The sequence below is a fragment of the Homo sapiens genome, chromosome 9 (assembly GCF_000001405.40).
Source record: "Homo sapiens chromosome 9, GRCh38.p14 Primary Assembly".
In the NCBI taxonomy this organism is placed as follows: domain Eukaryota; kingdom Metazoa; phylum Chordata; class Mammalia; order Primates; family Hominidae; genus Homo; species Homo sapiens.
Genome location: NC_000009.12, coordinates 27030819 through 27046050, shown reverse-complemented (window position 1 = coordinate 27046050; position 15232 = coordinate 27030819). Strand labels below are relative to the sequence as shown.

At 38.7% G+C, this 15232-nt stretch overlaps 1 protein-coding gene across 5 annotated transcripts in view; it reads right to left on the bottom strand.

The window, feature by feature from the left end:
* The window catches only part of IFT74 (intraflagellar transport 74), a 119025-nt gene that overhangs the window by 20084 nt on the left and 83709 nt on the right, over positions 1-15232 (bottom strand). For 4 of the 5 annotated variants that reach the window (NM_001099223.3, NM_001099222.3, NM_001349928.2 and 1 more), the window contains exon 14: positions 1256-1309. In NM_001099223.3, coding sequence (NP_001092693.1) covers positions 1256-1309 — 54 coding nt within the window. Of the gene's footprint in view, positions 1-1255; positions 1310-9250; positions 9602-15232 lie in introns of those variants that run through there. The other variant, NM_001099224.3, reaches the window with a different exon arrangement.

Here is a 15232-nt window from a genome sequence, read left to right as displayed (position 1 = left end):
CCTTCTATTTTAAGATTCTGTAGTATAGGAATTCTTTCCATTCATTCAGTAAACATTCATTAAATGAACACTTATTGACACCTAAGTGCCAGATACCACACTAGGTAGTATCTAGTAATTTCCAATACTGTGGTGTCATGACACATTGTTCCTTGATTTTACACCTTTCTCCTTTACCAAAAGACTTAAAAAAATATTTTTGAGATAATTTTTGGTATTTACTGACATTTTAAAGAAAACTTGGTACATTGTAAAATAAGAGGTGACAATTACTCTTTTATTGCATGCCTCCATGAAGGTAACTATTGACATCAGACCTAGATGAAATTCTAGCACTTCGCTAGAATTCAGATTCCAGCAAAATGATAACTTAAAAGGAAACCAGTAATTGAGAATACATGCCAATTTTTTAAAAAAATTATAAATGTATAGGTTTAAGTGAAAACCAATTTATAAAATCAGGCTGAGATTTTTTTTAAGTGAATCAAAACTAACAAAAGGCAACTAAAATTATAGCTGGTGATAGAAAAAAGTGACAATATCTGATGTGAGGGCTAATAAACAATGAGATAAGTATTATGGAAAGCTAAATATAAAAGTGAAAGATACTAAAGGTGAATATAGTGAAGCATGTAAAAGAGAACATTCAATCAATAAATGATCTATAGCAGCAGTCCCCAACCATTTTGGCACCAGGGACCATGGAAGACAATTTTTCTATGGACCAGGGCTGGGGGCAGATGCGGGTGATGGTTTTGGGATGAAACTGTTCTACCTGAGATCATCAGGGGTTAGATTCTCATAACAAGAGTACAACCTAGATCCCTCATACGCGATAGGGTTCACACTCATATGAGAATCTAATGCTGCTGCTGATCTAACAGGAGGCAGAGCTCAGACGGTAATGCTCGCTTGCCAGTGGCTCACCTCCTGGTGTGCGGCCTGGTTCCTACCGGTCTGCAGCCTGGGGATTGGGGACCCCTGGTCTATAGGTTTCCTCTGTACAGACTACGAATGTAAGTACTAGCTTTAGAATCTAGCCCCAACGTATAGACACTCATCACATATCTTTTTAGAATTTTCTACCCATCTCTAAATTATGCTAGAAACTATTCTTCAAGGCAAAATGCTTTGAATGTCCACACTTCTGCATTTATTAGCCATTATATCTGCCCAAAATGAGGTCTCTGATTTGGTATAAATGAACAGCAATCTGAAAATATTATATTTTTATATCTACAAGAATATCACTTACTGTCCATATGTTCCTCCCTTTTCTTTAGCTCCTTGTATTTCTGGTTCATTTCACCTATGAGAGATATAAAATACAACATGAATTTCAAAAATTGCACATACAGGGCTCTAAATTAAAAATCTCTCTTTGGTTCTCTCTATGCCATTAGTCATTGACTATTCGACGTGTTCGATTAGGTGAAATTCTTTTACAATGACTTATAGAGACTTTTCAAGTAGACATATGCATGTAACTTGAATATGTGGAACAAACAATATGATTGGAAAGGACTTAAAGGCTTTCCATTCCCAACCTGGGGCTATTCAACCTATACATGAACACTATGGGTGCTGAGAAACATAAGTTCCCAAGAAAGTCCATTCCATCTTTGAAAGATCACCAGCAAGACAGCAGAGTAACTTCACTCACAGAGTTTATACTCTAAAGATTGAACAATTAATTAAAATTAAAAGGTACTAACTGCTATCATAGGAAAAATAAAAGATGCTATAGGAGCACACAGCAAGGGCAACTAATCTAGGTTAGGGTTACAGAGAAAGTTTCCCTAAACAAGTAATATTTAAGTTGTATTATAAAGAATAGTAGGAGTTACCTGGTCAAAATACAGAAACTGCAAATGTCAAAGCATTACCAGTAAAAAGTTTCAAACTGAGGATGAATATGGTAGCATAAAGAACTGAGGGAGTGGTATGGCCGAGGCAGAGAATGAAGTGAAAAAGTAGCACAAAGATGAGGCAGCTTACGAAGCACCTTATAAGATCCATGTTAAAGAGTTTGGACTTTCTCCTAAGGACAATTACTAAAGAATTTTAACCAGGGAGATGAAATAATCCGTTTGCAATTTTGAAAAATATTTCCAGTCTGGAGAATAAAAGAGAAGTAAGATTGGAGGCAATAAAACCAGTTAGAAAGTTGTCAGGATAATCTGGGTGAAAGATGAAAGCTGCCTTGAGTAGAGCGGTGGTAATTGGGATGGAAAGTAGTGAATTATTATTTGTGACATTTAAGAGCCAGAGTGATTGGCTTGGTGAGGGTTAAACAGGGAGGAATCAAGTATGATTCCCAGGCTTCTGGCTTGGGCATCTGAGAAGATGGTAGTACAACTAACCTAAATGGGGAAAAAGGTGAGAAAGAGTTGCTTACAGCAGTTTTGGATATGTTGAGTTTAACAAACATGAAAAGCATGTCTAAAGAGACAAAAATCCAAGGCCTAGAAAAATGAATGAATTCTGCCATTTAGGCCTCACAGAGGGACCCATTAGTAGGAGTGGATCATGATTATTTTATGACAATAGGATTTCACTGTAAGAAAAACTGAGCTTTGAAGGAACATGGCAGCTGCCTTCTGTAGAGAAAGCAGACAGAGACATGAACCTCCATCTGTGCATATACTTGCTTGGCATTAAGTGAATTATGAGAACACAAGGGTGATGGCAAAGTCAGAGACGTGGATTAGCAAACAGCTTTTCTGCCTTCTGGTCTGAAGAGTTTTCTGAAATTCATTGACGACAACCCTGATGCTGAGAAAATCTTATGTTAAGGCTTCCAAAATATTACTGGTAGTAAAAAGCTGCAAGTGAAAGCTAATGTTTAAGGACAGTAAATACCTAATGGTCACAAATTCCTAGCCAGGCTACACCCAGCACCAATAGGAAACCCTGGATCCACTCAGATAAGGCTCTAGATGGATTAGCAACTTTACTCAACTACTACTCAGTTCAAATGATCAACCATGGTCTCAAAATACACTGACGCCCCCTGATTAACTGTGAAGAGGAGGCCAGAGGTACTCTGTTATTAAACAAACTTTGTCTGTATATGTGTGTGTGTTTATATATATACACACATTTGTAAAATATACTACAGACAGGTTTTTGAGTGGGAAACAGAAAGAGTTGGAGTTTGCAGCACACATGATCTGGGATACCCTTATAGGAGGAAGATGTGCATATAAATATCATTGCCCATGTGAAGTGGCAGAAAAGCTACTATCTCCTGAACCTGCCATGGCCCATGTTTCCAAGAAAGTCCTAGTTTCTTGTTCTGGCTATTTAAGTTCCACTCTTGGGAGACTGGTCAGGCATTAAGGGATTAGGAGGGAGGCCTGGATCCTAGACTTTACAAGGATTTAACTATCATCTTATCTTTTTTCTTTTAATCTTAAGAGAATTCCTACACATGATGTTTCCAGTTTCTCATCTTGCTTTTAAACCCCAAGACACTGCAATGAGGCTTTTCCTCCTCCTGTTCCAATGAAATTGTTCTCAGTGAGATTATACAACTGCTTAATGATCAAATTCAAACGGCAGTCAGTTATCTTACTCTGTAATATTTGACACTATTGGTACAACTTTTCAATTTTCTTTGTTTTCCTCTATGTTTTATTTTTGCTTTTTGCGGGGATGGGAGGGCTTCTCTGGCGTTTCTTACTCTCAGATCATTATTTTTCTGTCTTCTCTTCATGGGTCTGCTTCCTTCTTCATTTATATTCTAGAGTTCTGTTCTTAATGAACTTCTAACGCTATATCCATGGCAATTTCATACATTCTTGTGGTTTAAGAACTGTCAAATTTAATATATTCTCTGAGTTTTAGATTCTTTAATCTAAATGCTTACTATATATATTGATTTGGAAGCCCTTTCAGGACATCCTAACTCAGTATACTCATAATTAAACTCATAGTCTTCCCTCTCTTTATTCCCTATTACATTTGGCTGTCCTTACCATCCATTCATCATTCAAGTCAGAAACCTGAGAGGAGACTCCTCCCTCCTTCTCTCCTAAAAGTCATCCTCCTAGTTGCCAACAGATTGAGCTGGAAGATGTAACTGGTTAACATTTACAGCTGTACAGCTGGCCAGCTGGATTAGATGGGACAGAGCTCCTACACATCTCAGCAGATTCCCAAGCTTCATAAAACTTCCTCCAATATCACTATTGCTAAGAAGGAGAGTGGTCAGAGCATTAGTGAACTTCTCTATTTGGTGATTTCTCAGTGGAGGATTAGTATCTGAGTTGCTCATAAAGGCAGTGTAAATGTAGGCAGTCCTAAGGTAGGGTAAAACATAATGGTTTTTAGCAAATATATCCTTAGATTCAATATCACAGGACAGGATGAGATTGTAGATAGACGGAAGCAAATCAGTGTATCACAATGGAGGTACCAGCAAGTAAGCAGAAGGGTCTAATGTAGTAGAATCAACAATGAGGAGACCAAGGGAGAGGGAAAGGGACACAACGGTAAAAGGAAGGTAATTTTGGAGATATCCTTTAATTCGGAGCATTTGATGTGCGCATACTTCTATACTCATTTATTTATTTCCGATAAATTTACTGATTATCAGATACTAAGTGCCAGATACTGTAATAGGTTTTGGGATATCAAACTGAGTAAGACAGTTTCCACCCTATTCTCAAAGGGCTTACACTCCATTAGGTGTACAAAACCAAAAATTTATAATGCAACATAAGTGCTCTGACAGGAATGTATGAAGTGCTGTGGTAACCAGATGCGTGAAAAGACTTCAGGAGGATTTTACACAGGAATTATACCAGCAAGGTACTTTATCGGGTAACATGGGGATTAAAGAAAAAAGTAAAATATTTTCCTCTGAAGAATTTATACTCTAATAAGACAAGTATACAAAAATGTATACTATAAATTCAGGCTTTTTCATCCCTCAAGTAGGAAAGAAGAAATGCGTATGTGCTGTTAACAAAAGACTGGGGCTACTGTAGAAAGGACACCATTGCTTTTTTATAGTCTCTGCTATAGCCAGCAGTGCAGTAAGGGAGATATGCTCTTCTTGCACTGCCAATAGTCTGAGCACCACCAAAACTACCTCTGTCCTCACTGCAAGGGAAGTTCACCCCATACTTTTACTTCTCTGGCATCAAATGACGTTCTCCTGACTCAGGCTTTATAGGCTTTTATACTCTGAGAAGTAGTTCTGCCCCTAAGAAGGTCTGATTACCATTTTCCAAATAGGTGGCTATCCCAATCTTCTCTCCTGATCAATACACAACAAGGCATGTACTAGTAACTCTCCTGAACTCAAGGTCCCCAACTCAGCAAAGCCTACTGATTTTGGAGTTGAAAGGTCAACAGAAAACAAAATCAGGGAGACGGGGCAAGAAAAAACTCCACAGGACTTTTGCACAGCCAGACTGTTTCTTAGCACTTGGAATACTTCTGAAGCACGCAAAGTCTCCCAGTACCTTTCCTTCTTTTTTTTTTTTTTTTTTTTTTTGAGACAGTGTCTCGTTCTGTTGCCCAGGCTGGAGTGCAATGGTGCAATCTCAGCTGCAACCTCCGCCTCCCAGGTTCAAGCGATTCTCCTACCTCAGCCTCCCAGCTAGCTGAGGCTACAGGCACACGCCACCATGCCCAGCTAATTTTTGTTTTTAGCAGAGACAGGGTTTCACTATGTTGGCCAGGATGGTCTTGAACTTCTGACCTCAAGTGATCCCCCCACTTCAGCCTCCCAGAGTGCTGGGATTACAGGCGTGAGCCACTGCACCTGGCCTCAATATCTTCTATATGGCATGGTTTCTATCCCTATTACCATTCTGGTCACTCTGCTATGAACGAGCTCTAGTTTTTCTCTAACCCTTTTAACATATTATGCCAAGAAACTTAAGATTCCAAGAAGATGTCACTCTCCATAGTCTACATAACCATTTTTTGTTATGCAATCTAGGATTTCAGCCGTTTTCAAGGCTGTATCACATTAATTCATATTGAGTTATCTAAACCCCTTCTAACATTTTCACATATTTTAGTGAGCCAGAACACTTTCTCCTCCCTGACTCCTATTTCAATTTTAATTAGTTGTGGGGGCCTATAAAATTCCATCTTTTTGCATTCAGTCTATCTCTCCCATCTACTTTTCACATACCATTATTACAGTAAGCAGCAAGTTAGTATATAAAATAGTCATTCCTTGGTATCTGATGGGGACTGGTTTCAGTACCCCCACCCCTCTGTAGATAACAAAACCTGAGGATGTTCAAGTCTTTTACATAAAATGGCACAGTATTTGCATATAACCTACATATACCCTCCTGCTACATACTTTAAATCATCCCTAGATTACTTATGATACCTAATATATTGTAAATGGTTGTTACACTGTGTTGTCTAGGGAATAATGACAAGGAAAATAAGACTGTACATGTTCAGTACAGATGCAACCACTGTAGGGCAAACTACACAGTATACATCAGCAACAATGTAACACTTTTTGTTTTATTTTTATTTTAAAAATAGAAATGGGGTCTATGTTGTCCAGGCTGATTTCAAGCTCCTGACCTCAAGAAATCCTCCTGCCTCAGCCTCCCACAGTGTTGGAATTACAGGCATGAGCCACCACGCCCAGCCACATTTTCTATCAACACTTGCAGATGACTTTCATTTAATGACCTGAAAGAGTACATTAAGACGCATCAAAACTCTGGCTCTTCTGGCTGAGCACAGTGGCTCACACCTATGATCCCAATACTTTGGGAGGCCAAGATAAGAGGACTGCTTGAGGCTGCGAGTTCGAGACGAGCCTGGGCAAAATAGTGAATCCTGTCTTTACAAAAAATTTAAAAATTAAAAAAAAAGAAGCATAAACTGTCGCTTTTCTCTCTTGATAACCCTCATTTGACGATGATGACGATTATAATTTCTATTTGGTGCCCATGGTGCCCATATGGTGAGGTGGTGAGATGCGCAGCACTGTAGGTAAGTGGTGAAACACAAGGCTAACTTGAACCTTCTAACAGGACATCGGAAAGATCATTTATGCTGGAAGAATCTTCAAGCGTTTAAGGTCGAGGCTTCATAATACAGACGGCTTTAGTTGGGAACATTGTTCTAGGAAGCTGTTTCTCCTTTTTTCTTGAAGCATCAAACAACTCTTGCAGTGCTTGTAGGCATGTTGCTATCCCTCAGGTGACACGGAGGCTTTGTTCCACTGAAGGATCATACCCTTTAACACTTGCACCTGTTGAAAAACTGCTGCAAATTTTTCAAGTATCCAAATTGAGGACTCTGTTTCTGCTAAATCTGTTATCACTGTCATCATCTCCTGTAGAGAATTTCAGCAGAACCTTGAGTTCCTTGTTGGTAAGGGTTTCTCTATGCTCTTCTATGTGTTCCTCGAAGTCACCCTTGATCATGTCAGAGAAGCATTCCTCATCAACTTCCTTTGCAACATTCAAGATATTCCTGGGCCGGGCGCGGTGGGCTCACGCCTGTAATCCCAGCACTTTGGGAGGCCAAGACAGGCGGACCACGAGGTCAGGAGTTTGAGACCAGCCTGGCCAAGAGAGCAGCCTGGGCAATATGGTGAAACCCATCTCTACTAAAAATACAAAAATTAGCCAGGCGTGGTGGCATGTGCCTGTAATTCCAGCTACTCAGGAGGCTGAGGCGTGAGAACTGCTTGAACCCAGGAGGCAGAGGTTGCAGTGAGCTAAAATCGCGCCATTGCACTCCAGCCTGGGTGACAGAGTGAGACTCTAACTCAAAAAAAACAAAAACAAAAACAAAACCATATTCCTGACTTCTGCACCAATAATGGGGAAGCTCCTGAAATCACTGACTACCTCATTCCATAATGGCTTCCAACATGCACTGACTGTCTTGGGCTTTGGGGCATCTACAGCCTCTGTAAAAAGCACAACTACATTTGCAATTGTAAAGCTCTTCCATAAATCCATGACACTGTAGTCAAGGTTAGCATCAAGGACAGCACAAATCCTCCCAAAGGTGAGGTGGGTGTAAGTCATTTAATGCACTTGCTGATGCCTCGATCAAATGGCTAAAACAGTGAGGTAGTACTTGCCTTAGGCAAGAACATCACTGCAACATTGTCATTAGTGAAGTAGAGAGATCAGGGATGGCTGTGAGTAATGTCAATTATGAGGATGACCTTGAATGGCACCCTGTTCTCTTCCAGGTATTTCTTCATTTTAGGAATAAAACTGAATTCCAGGAACAAGATGGCCATCACCCAAGCCTTCCTATTGTGTTGCCAGAACACAGGTAGGCAATTTTTGATTTTGTTCTTAAGGACCCAGGGACTGTTTGCTTGGTACACAAGACCTGGCTTGACCATGTAACCTGCTGTGTTGCCACATAGCACCAGAGTAAAACGATCTTTCCAGGCTTTGAACCCCAAAGCCTGCTTGACACTCTTACGGATGTAGGTATTAGGCCTCTTCTTCTATAACAAGTTTCTTTCAACACAACTGAAGACTTGCTATGAAAGGTATCCTTTGTCTTCTGAGTTTCTTGAGCTCTTCTGGGAATGCTGATACTGCCTGGTCATCAGCTAATGCTGATTCTCCTGTGATCTTTAAGTTCGTGTGGCTGTACTACTTTCCACAGCTAGCTAGTCATCCCTTACTATCCTTAAATTCCTTCCTCTCACTCTCTTCAACTTCCTCATAGGAATGCTCACAAAGGCTAAATGCTTTTTCATACATAATTTTGCCATCAACAGGGACATGCTTCTGTGATATTTTGTCTACTCATACATTTGATGTTTTCTTAGTCTCTGCAAGCTTTTTTTTTTTTTTTTTTTGAGATGGGATTTCACTCTTGCTGCCCAGGCTGGAGTGCAATGGCACGATCTTGGCTCACTGCAACCTCTGCCTCCCAGGTTCAATCAATTCTCCTGTCTCAGCCTCCCTAGTAGCTGGGATTACAGGTGCCCACCACCACTACCGGCTAAGTTTTTGTATTTTTTAGTAGAGACGGGGTTTCACCATTTGGGCCAGGCTGGTCCTGAATCCTGACCTCAGGTAATTCACCCGCCTCAGCCTCCCAAAGTGCTGGGATTACAGGCGTGAGCCACTGTGCCCGACCAGTCTCTGCAAGCATTTTATCATGAATCACAGCAATAATTTTTTTTGCCATTGTAGGGGCAGCACTAAAACTTCCACAAATGTCAGCTTCAGCTTCCTTCTGTTTTATTGTGTCACTTTGGTAAATCACACGCCACTTTTCAAAAGATCTAAGAATTTTATTTTCTTGTTGAGAGACAGCACTTTACGCTCTCTCTTAGTCTGTAAGGGATTTCTTTCACCATATAATTGATTTTTAGGAGTCTTTTTTTTTTCACAGAAGCAAAGAGTGAACACAAGTAGCCAATGAATAAAATGCCAGATGAACACTGCTCAAACAGTGGGTGCTAGAGAGAGACTGAAGATCTGTGAAACAATGGGAGGCTATAGCAGGGTATTCTTCAGTTCAAATGGATTCAGCATAGTGCTTAGCACATGGCAGGTTCAAACTTGCTTTTTGAAACTTCCTGTATTTTTTTCAAGTATTTTCCATCCATAGTTGGTAGGATCTGCAGATGAAGAACCCGTGGGTACAAAGAATTGACTATATTACAAAATTGCTGTGGTAAAAAGAGTACATATAAGCTTAATGTTTTAAACTAACTTTGGCATTAGGTTTCACCCAATTTTCTAAATATACATTCTCTGGGAAATACAGTTGACCCTTGAAAAACAGAGGTTTGAACTTGGTGGGTCTACTTACATGCAGATTTTCTTCTGCCTCTGCTACCCCTGAGATAGCAAGACCAAACTCTTCCTCCTCTTCCTCAGTCTACTCAATGTGAAGACAATGAGGATGAAGACCTTTATAATGACCTACTTCCATTTCATTAGTAAGTGGAAAATAATAAAAATCTTTATAGTTCTCTTAATAACATTTTCTTTTCTCTAGCTTACTTTATTGTAAGAATACAGTATATAATACATACAAAATAGTGTTAACTGTTTATGTTATTGGTAAGGCTTCCAGCCAACAGTAGACCTTTGATAATTAAGTTTTTATGGAGTCAAAAGTTATACATGGATTTTTGACTGCATGGCACACTCAGTGCCCCTAATCCCAATGCTGTCTTGAAGGGTCAACTACATTTTAAATTTTAAATTACAGGTATGCAAACAAGATCAGATAATTCTATTTCTAAAGACAGGAGGCACTTTAAAAACTGTAATTATAATTTTTACATATTGTATAAATTGTATAATTTTTATTATCTAATTATGTAAAACAAAAGGACTATGTAGAAGTTTGTTCCAACAGAGTACTGTATATAAAATCATACAGTATAATTGGTAGTAAGCAGCATATACTAAACATATGGTCCTTAATCATTTTCGAAAGTAGTGGTTATAAAACTTTAACATGAATCAGAATCACCAGGAGGACTTACTGAAACACAAATTGCTGAGCCCTCTCCTTAGGGTTTCAAATTCAATAGGTCTGGGGTAGAGCCCAAGAATTTGCATTTCTAACAAGTTTCAGATGGTGGTGATGATCCTGGTGTAGATGTAATACCACCATTTTAATGAAAGATTCAATGTATAGTTTAAACAATTTCTAGATTGAACAATAATAATTCATTCTTCTTCAGCAGATATATGTTGGAAAACCACAGAATAGTAATGGATAGATGCCATTTGAAATCTCAGATACCAGAAGATAAACCACTTTGAAACTAAATAGGTTATTTTGTACATCCTGAAGGAAATACTGACGGGAAAATACTTTCTAATGTATGCTTTGGGAAAATAACTGCAGTAAAGTTATTCAATTTTGCTTTTATAAAGTAACAGCATTAACAATAAGTCACTAATTAATATTTATGAGCATATTTTAAATTGACTGCTATTATGAATGTGTTTTGTGTTTATATATGTTTACCATTTATGTTATTGGTAAGGCTTCCAGCCAACATTAGACTATTAATAATTAAGTTTATTTAATTATCTAATCTAATTCTCACAATAACCCTAAGAGGTAGGTACTGTAATTACCTCCATTTTAAAGAAAAAAAACTAAGATAAAGTAAGATTAAATAGCATAAATAGCATGTCCAAGATCAAACAGCACAGCCTGGATTTGAATCCAGGCATTCTAGTAACAGGACATGTGCTTAAAATAAAATGATTCTGGCCAGGCGTGGTGGCTCACGCCTGTAATCCCAACACTTTGGGAGGCCAAGGCAGGCAGATCACCTGAGGTCAGGAGTTTGAGACCAGCCTGACCAACATGGAGAAACCCCATCTCTACTAAAAATACAAAAAATTAGCCAGGTGTGGTGGCGCATGCCTGTAATCCCAGCTACTTGGGAGGCTGAGGTAGGAGAATTGTTTGAACCTGAGAGGTGGAGGTTGCGGTAAGTCAAGATCACACCATTTTACTCCAGCCTGGGCCACAAGAGAAAAACTCCGTCTCAAAATACATAAATAAATAAACAAATAAATAATAAATAAAAGTATTCTGTCTTTAACATTGTTTATTTTACCCTCCATAATTAAAGAAACAATGGTCCTAACCAAGGCTTTAGAACTCTGAGTATGAAAAAGTATACTATAGACAAACCAAAGTATTATATTTTGTTATTTTACTACTTTGAATGACACATATATATTATGCAGAAAGTTACAATGAATTCATTCAGAATTTAAGACAGTAATTCAATATTCCTATAGCACTTTGCATATATTTCTATTATGACATATTTACCACATTGTAGCAACTAGTTATTTATATGTATTATGGTATTTTAATAATCATATATTTGGTTTTACAATCAACTCCACATTTGGGAAAATACTTGAATCTGGAAAGTAATCATTTTTGGTGAGTAATAATGCCCAATAATCCCTCCTGGAGAGACATATGACAGTGACCGTACAACATTTGTTAACTCTATTTGTCAATCCTACTGTGTATATATTAATAGATGCTCAGAAAATTAGCCCCATCTTGTGGATCGCGGTGGTACTACAAATTCAGGCCTAACAGTCAAAACTTCGGAACTGTCAGTGATGTGTACCTTATCTTGACTGACAAAAACTAAAAAACTTATGGCTAGCATTGGTAAGGAACCACCTTCACATACTGCTTTTGGTTGTATAACATAATACAACCTTTTCTGGGAAGAAATTTGCAAACCAGTTGTAAATATAAATAATATTCCATTCAAAATTTCACTTCTAGAAATTTATTCTGTGGAAATAAACAGACAAGTTATAAACATGAATGTACTAGTGCAGCACTGTTCTTGGGAGTAAAAAATTAGAAACAGCCTAAATATCAATGTGGATACAATGAATCCTATGTAACAACAATCATAGGGGTAGCTAATGGTTGTCAGAAGCGCTTAATGTGCACCAGGCACCATTTTTTTTTTTTTTTTTTTTTGAGACAGGGTCTCACTTTGTTATCCAGGCTGAAGTGCAGTGGCATGATTTTGGTTGGAGTGATTTCGGCTTACTGCAGCCTCGACTTCCGAGGTTCAAGTAATCATCCTACCTTAGCAAATAGCTGGGACTACAAGTCAAACACACATCACCATGCCTGGCTAATTTTTGTATTTTTTTGTAGAGACAGGTTTTCGCCCTGTTGCCCAGGCTGGTCTCGAACTTCTGAGCTCAAGCAATCCACCCCCCTCAGCCTCCCAAAGTGCTAGGATTATAGGCATGAGCCACCACACCTGTACCAGGCACCATTCTTAAGTCTGACTTTAGAGCCCTAACATTGACCACTATGCTATACCATTTCTCAGAATGAAGTATACATCCTCATAGGGAAGAATGTATATTATACAGTTAAATGAAAAGACTCAAGCTCAGAAGAACTGTATATTAGTATTACTCCATTTAAAAATATGTTTATCAATGTATTAAAAGTCTAAAAGCCTAAACATTAAACTGTAAACCATGATTACCTCTGAAGACTTGGATGAGGAGAAAGGAGATGACATTTTACTTTATATACTTTTCTGCTTGCATTTTTCATGTTAAATACATGCCAGATTCATATTTAAAATTACAATTTTAAAAAATTAATCTGAATCTTTAAAATAATTTTAAGTAGTTTAAAAGACTTTTTTTTTTCTTTTTTTTCTTGAGATGGAGTCTTGCTCTGTCGCCCAAGGCTGGAGTGCAGTGGCGCGATCTTGGCTTACTGCAACCTCTGCCTCCCGAGTTCAAGCGATTCTCCTACTTCAGCCTCCTGAGTAGCTGGGATTACAGGTACACACCACCATGCCTAGCTAATTTTTGTATTTTTAATAGAGATGGGGTTTCACCATGTTGGTCAGGCTGGTCTCGAACTCCTGACCTCATGATCCGCCTGCCTCAGCCTCCCAAAGTGCTGGGATTACAGGCGTGAGCCACTGCACCCGGCCAGGACACTTTTTTTTTAAGCTGAAAAGGATGACCTCCTATAAGCTGAGGCTAATTGCCCAGTTAATGAAAGCATGAGGATGGTCATTTAAGGCAAAACACACAAAAAAAATCTTTTTAAAAATAAGTAAAATGATCTACCTTCAAGGTGCTTAAAGTTTCAGAAATTCTAGGTAATTAAGGCTTATAATTGTCATTTCCTGGTATGAATGGCACGTTGAACATGCACATCTAATTTTGATCCTCCCGCAAACCCCACTAAAACTATAGCAAAAAGAATTTTTAAAGGTAGAAACCCCCAGCATATAGAAATAGGAGACAACAGCAATAACATTTTGGAAGCTGAAAGGAGATGGAGAACTGGTAACTGACCTAGCAGACTTGAGAAAGTTGAAATCTAAGCCAGCATTGGGTGAAGCTGAGAACTACCCTGATTTCAAAAGGCTCAGTATTTTTGCATAGAAAACTGATCACTTTTTTTGTGATTTGTGTAAGGCTTTGACATGTCTTATAATAGTAATGCTGTTCTTTATAGAATTTATTCAATGTAAGGGAATACACTAGTAAAGAGTAAAACACCAGGCACAGTGGCTCACACCTGTAATCCCCACACTTTAGGAGGCCAAGGCAGAAAGACTGCTAGAGCCAAGCACGTTGAGATCAGCCTGGGCAACAGAGCAAAACCCTGTCCCTACAAAAAAAGTTTTCAACAATTAGCTGGGCATGGTGGTGTGCACCTGTAGTCCTAGCTACTCAGGAGTTTATTTTACATTTTATTTTATTTTATTTTACATTTTATTTTATTTATTTTATTTTATTTTATTTTATTTTATTTTATTTTATTTTATTTTATTTATTATTTTATTTAGCTAAGGCAAGAGGATCACTTGAGCCCAGGAGTTTGAGGCTGCAGTGAGCTATGTTGTCACACCACTGTACTCCAGCCTGGGTGACAGAAAGACCCTATCTCATTAAAAAAAAAAAAAAAAATGAGTAAAGTTAAGGGCCTGATTTCAGCTAAGTGGTCGAAGAAACTATTTACTCTGAAGGACTTCAATATAAGATATAAACTCTCAAGTATTAATCTGTAGTAAGAATAAAAGAATTTCTTTTTTTTTTTTAAGACGGAGTCTCGCTCTGTCACCCAGGCTGGAGCATAGAGGCGCGATCTTGGCTCACTGCAAGTTCCGCCTCCTGGGTTCACACCATTCTCCTGCCTCAGCCTCCTGAGTAGCTGGGACTACAGGCGCCCACCACCAGGCCCGGCTAATTTTTTGTATTTTTTAGTAGAGACAGGGTTTCACCGTGGTCTCGATCTCCTGACCTGGTGATCCGCCCACCTCGGCATCCCAAAGTGCTGGGACTACAGGCGTGAGCCACCGCACACGACCTAAAAGAATTTCTTAACAGATTCCTTAACAAAAACAAGCTGGGCACAGTAACATGGACCTGTAGTCCCGGCTACTTGGAAGGCTGAGGCAGTAGGACTGCTTGAGCCCAGGAGTTCAAGGCCACAGTAAGCTATGATCATGCCTGTAAATAGTCACTGCACTCTAGCCTGGCCAACACAGCAAGATTCATCTCCATTTAAAAACAAAAAAGTCACTTGGCTATATGTTAGAAGTAAGCCTTGAGGATAAAAACATCCTTATTAAAAATAGTATCCCATGTTGAGTGAAAATATAAGCTGCTATTGTCCACTTGGTGTGTTCTGCTTTACTTGGAAGAACAATACTTTTTCTATTACTTTCCCTTGCTTATACAGAGCC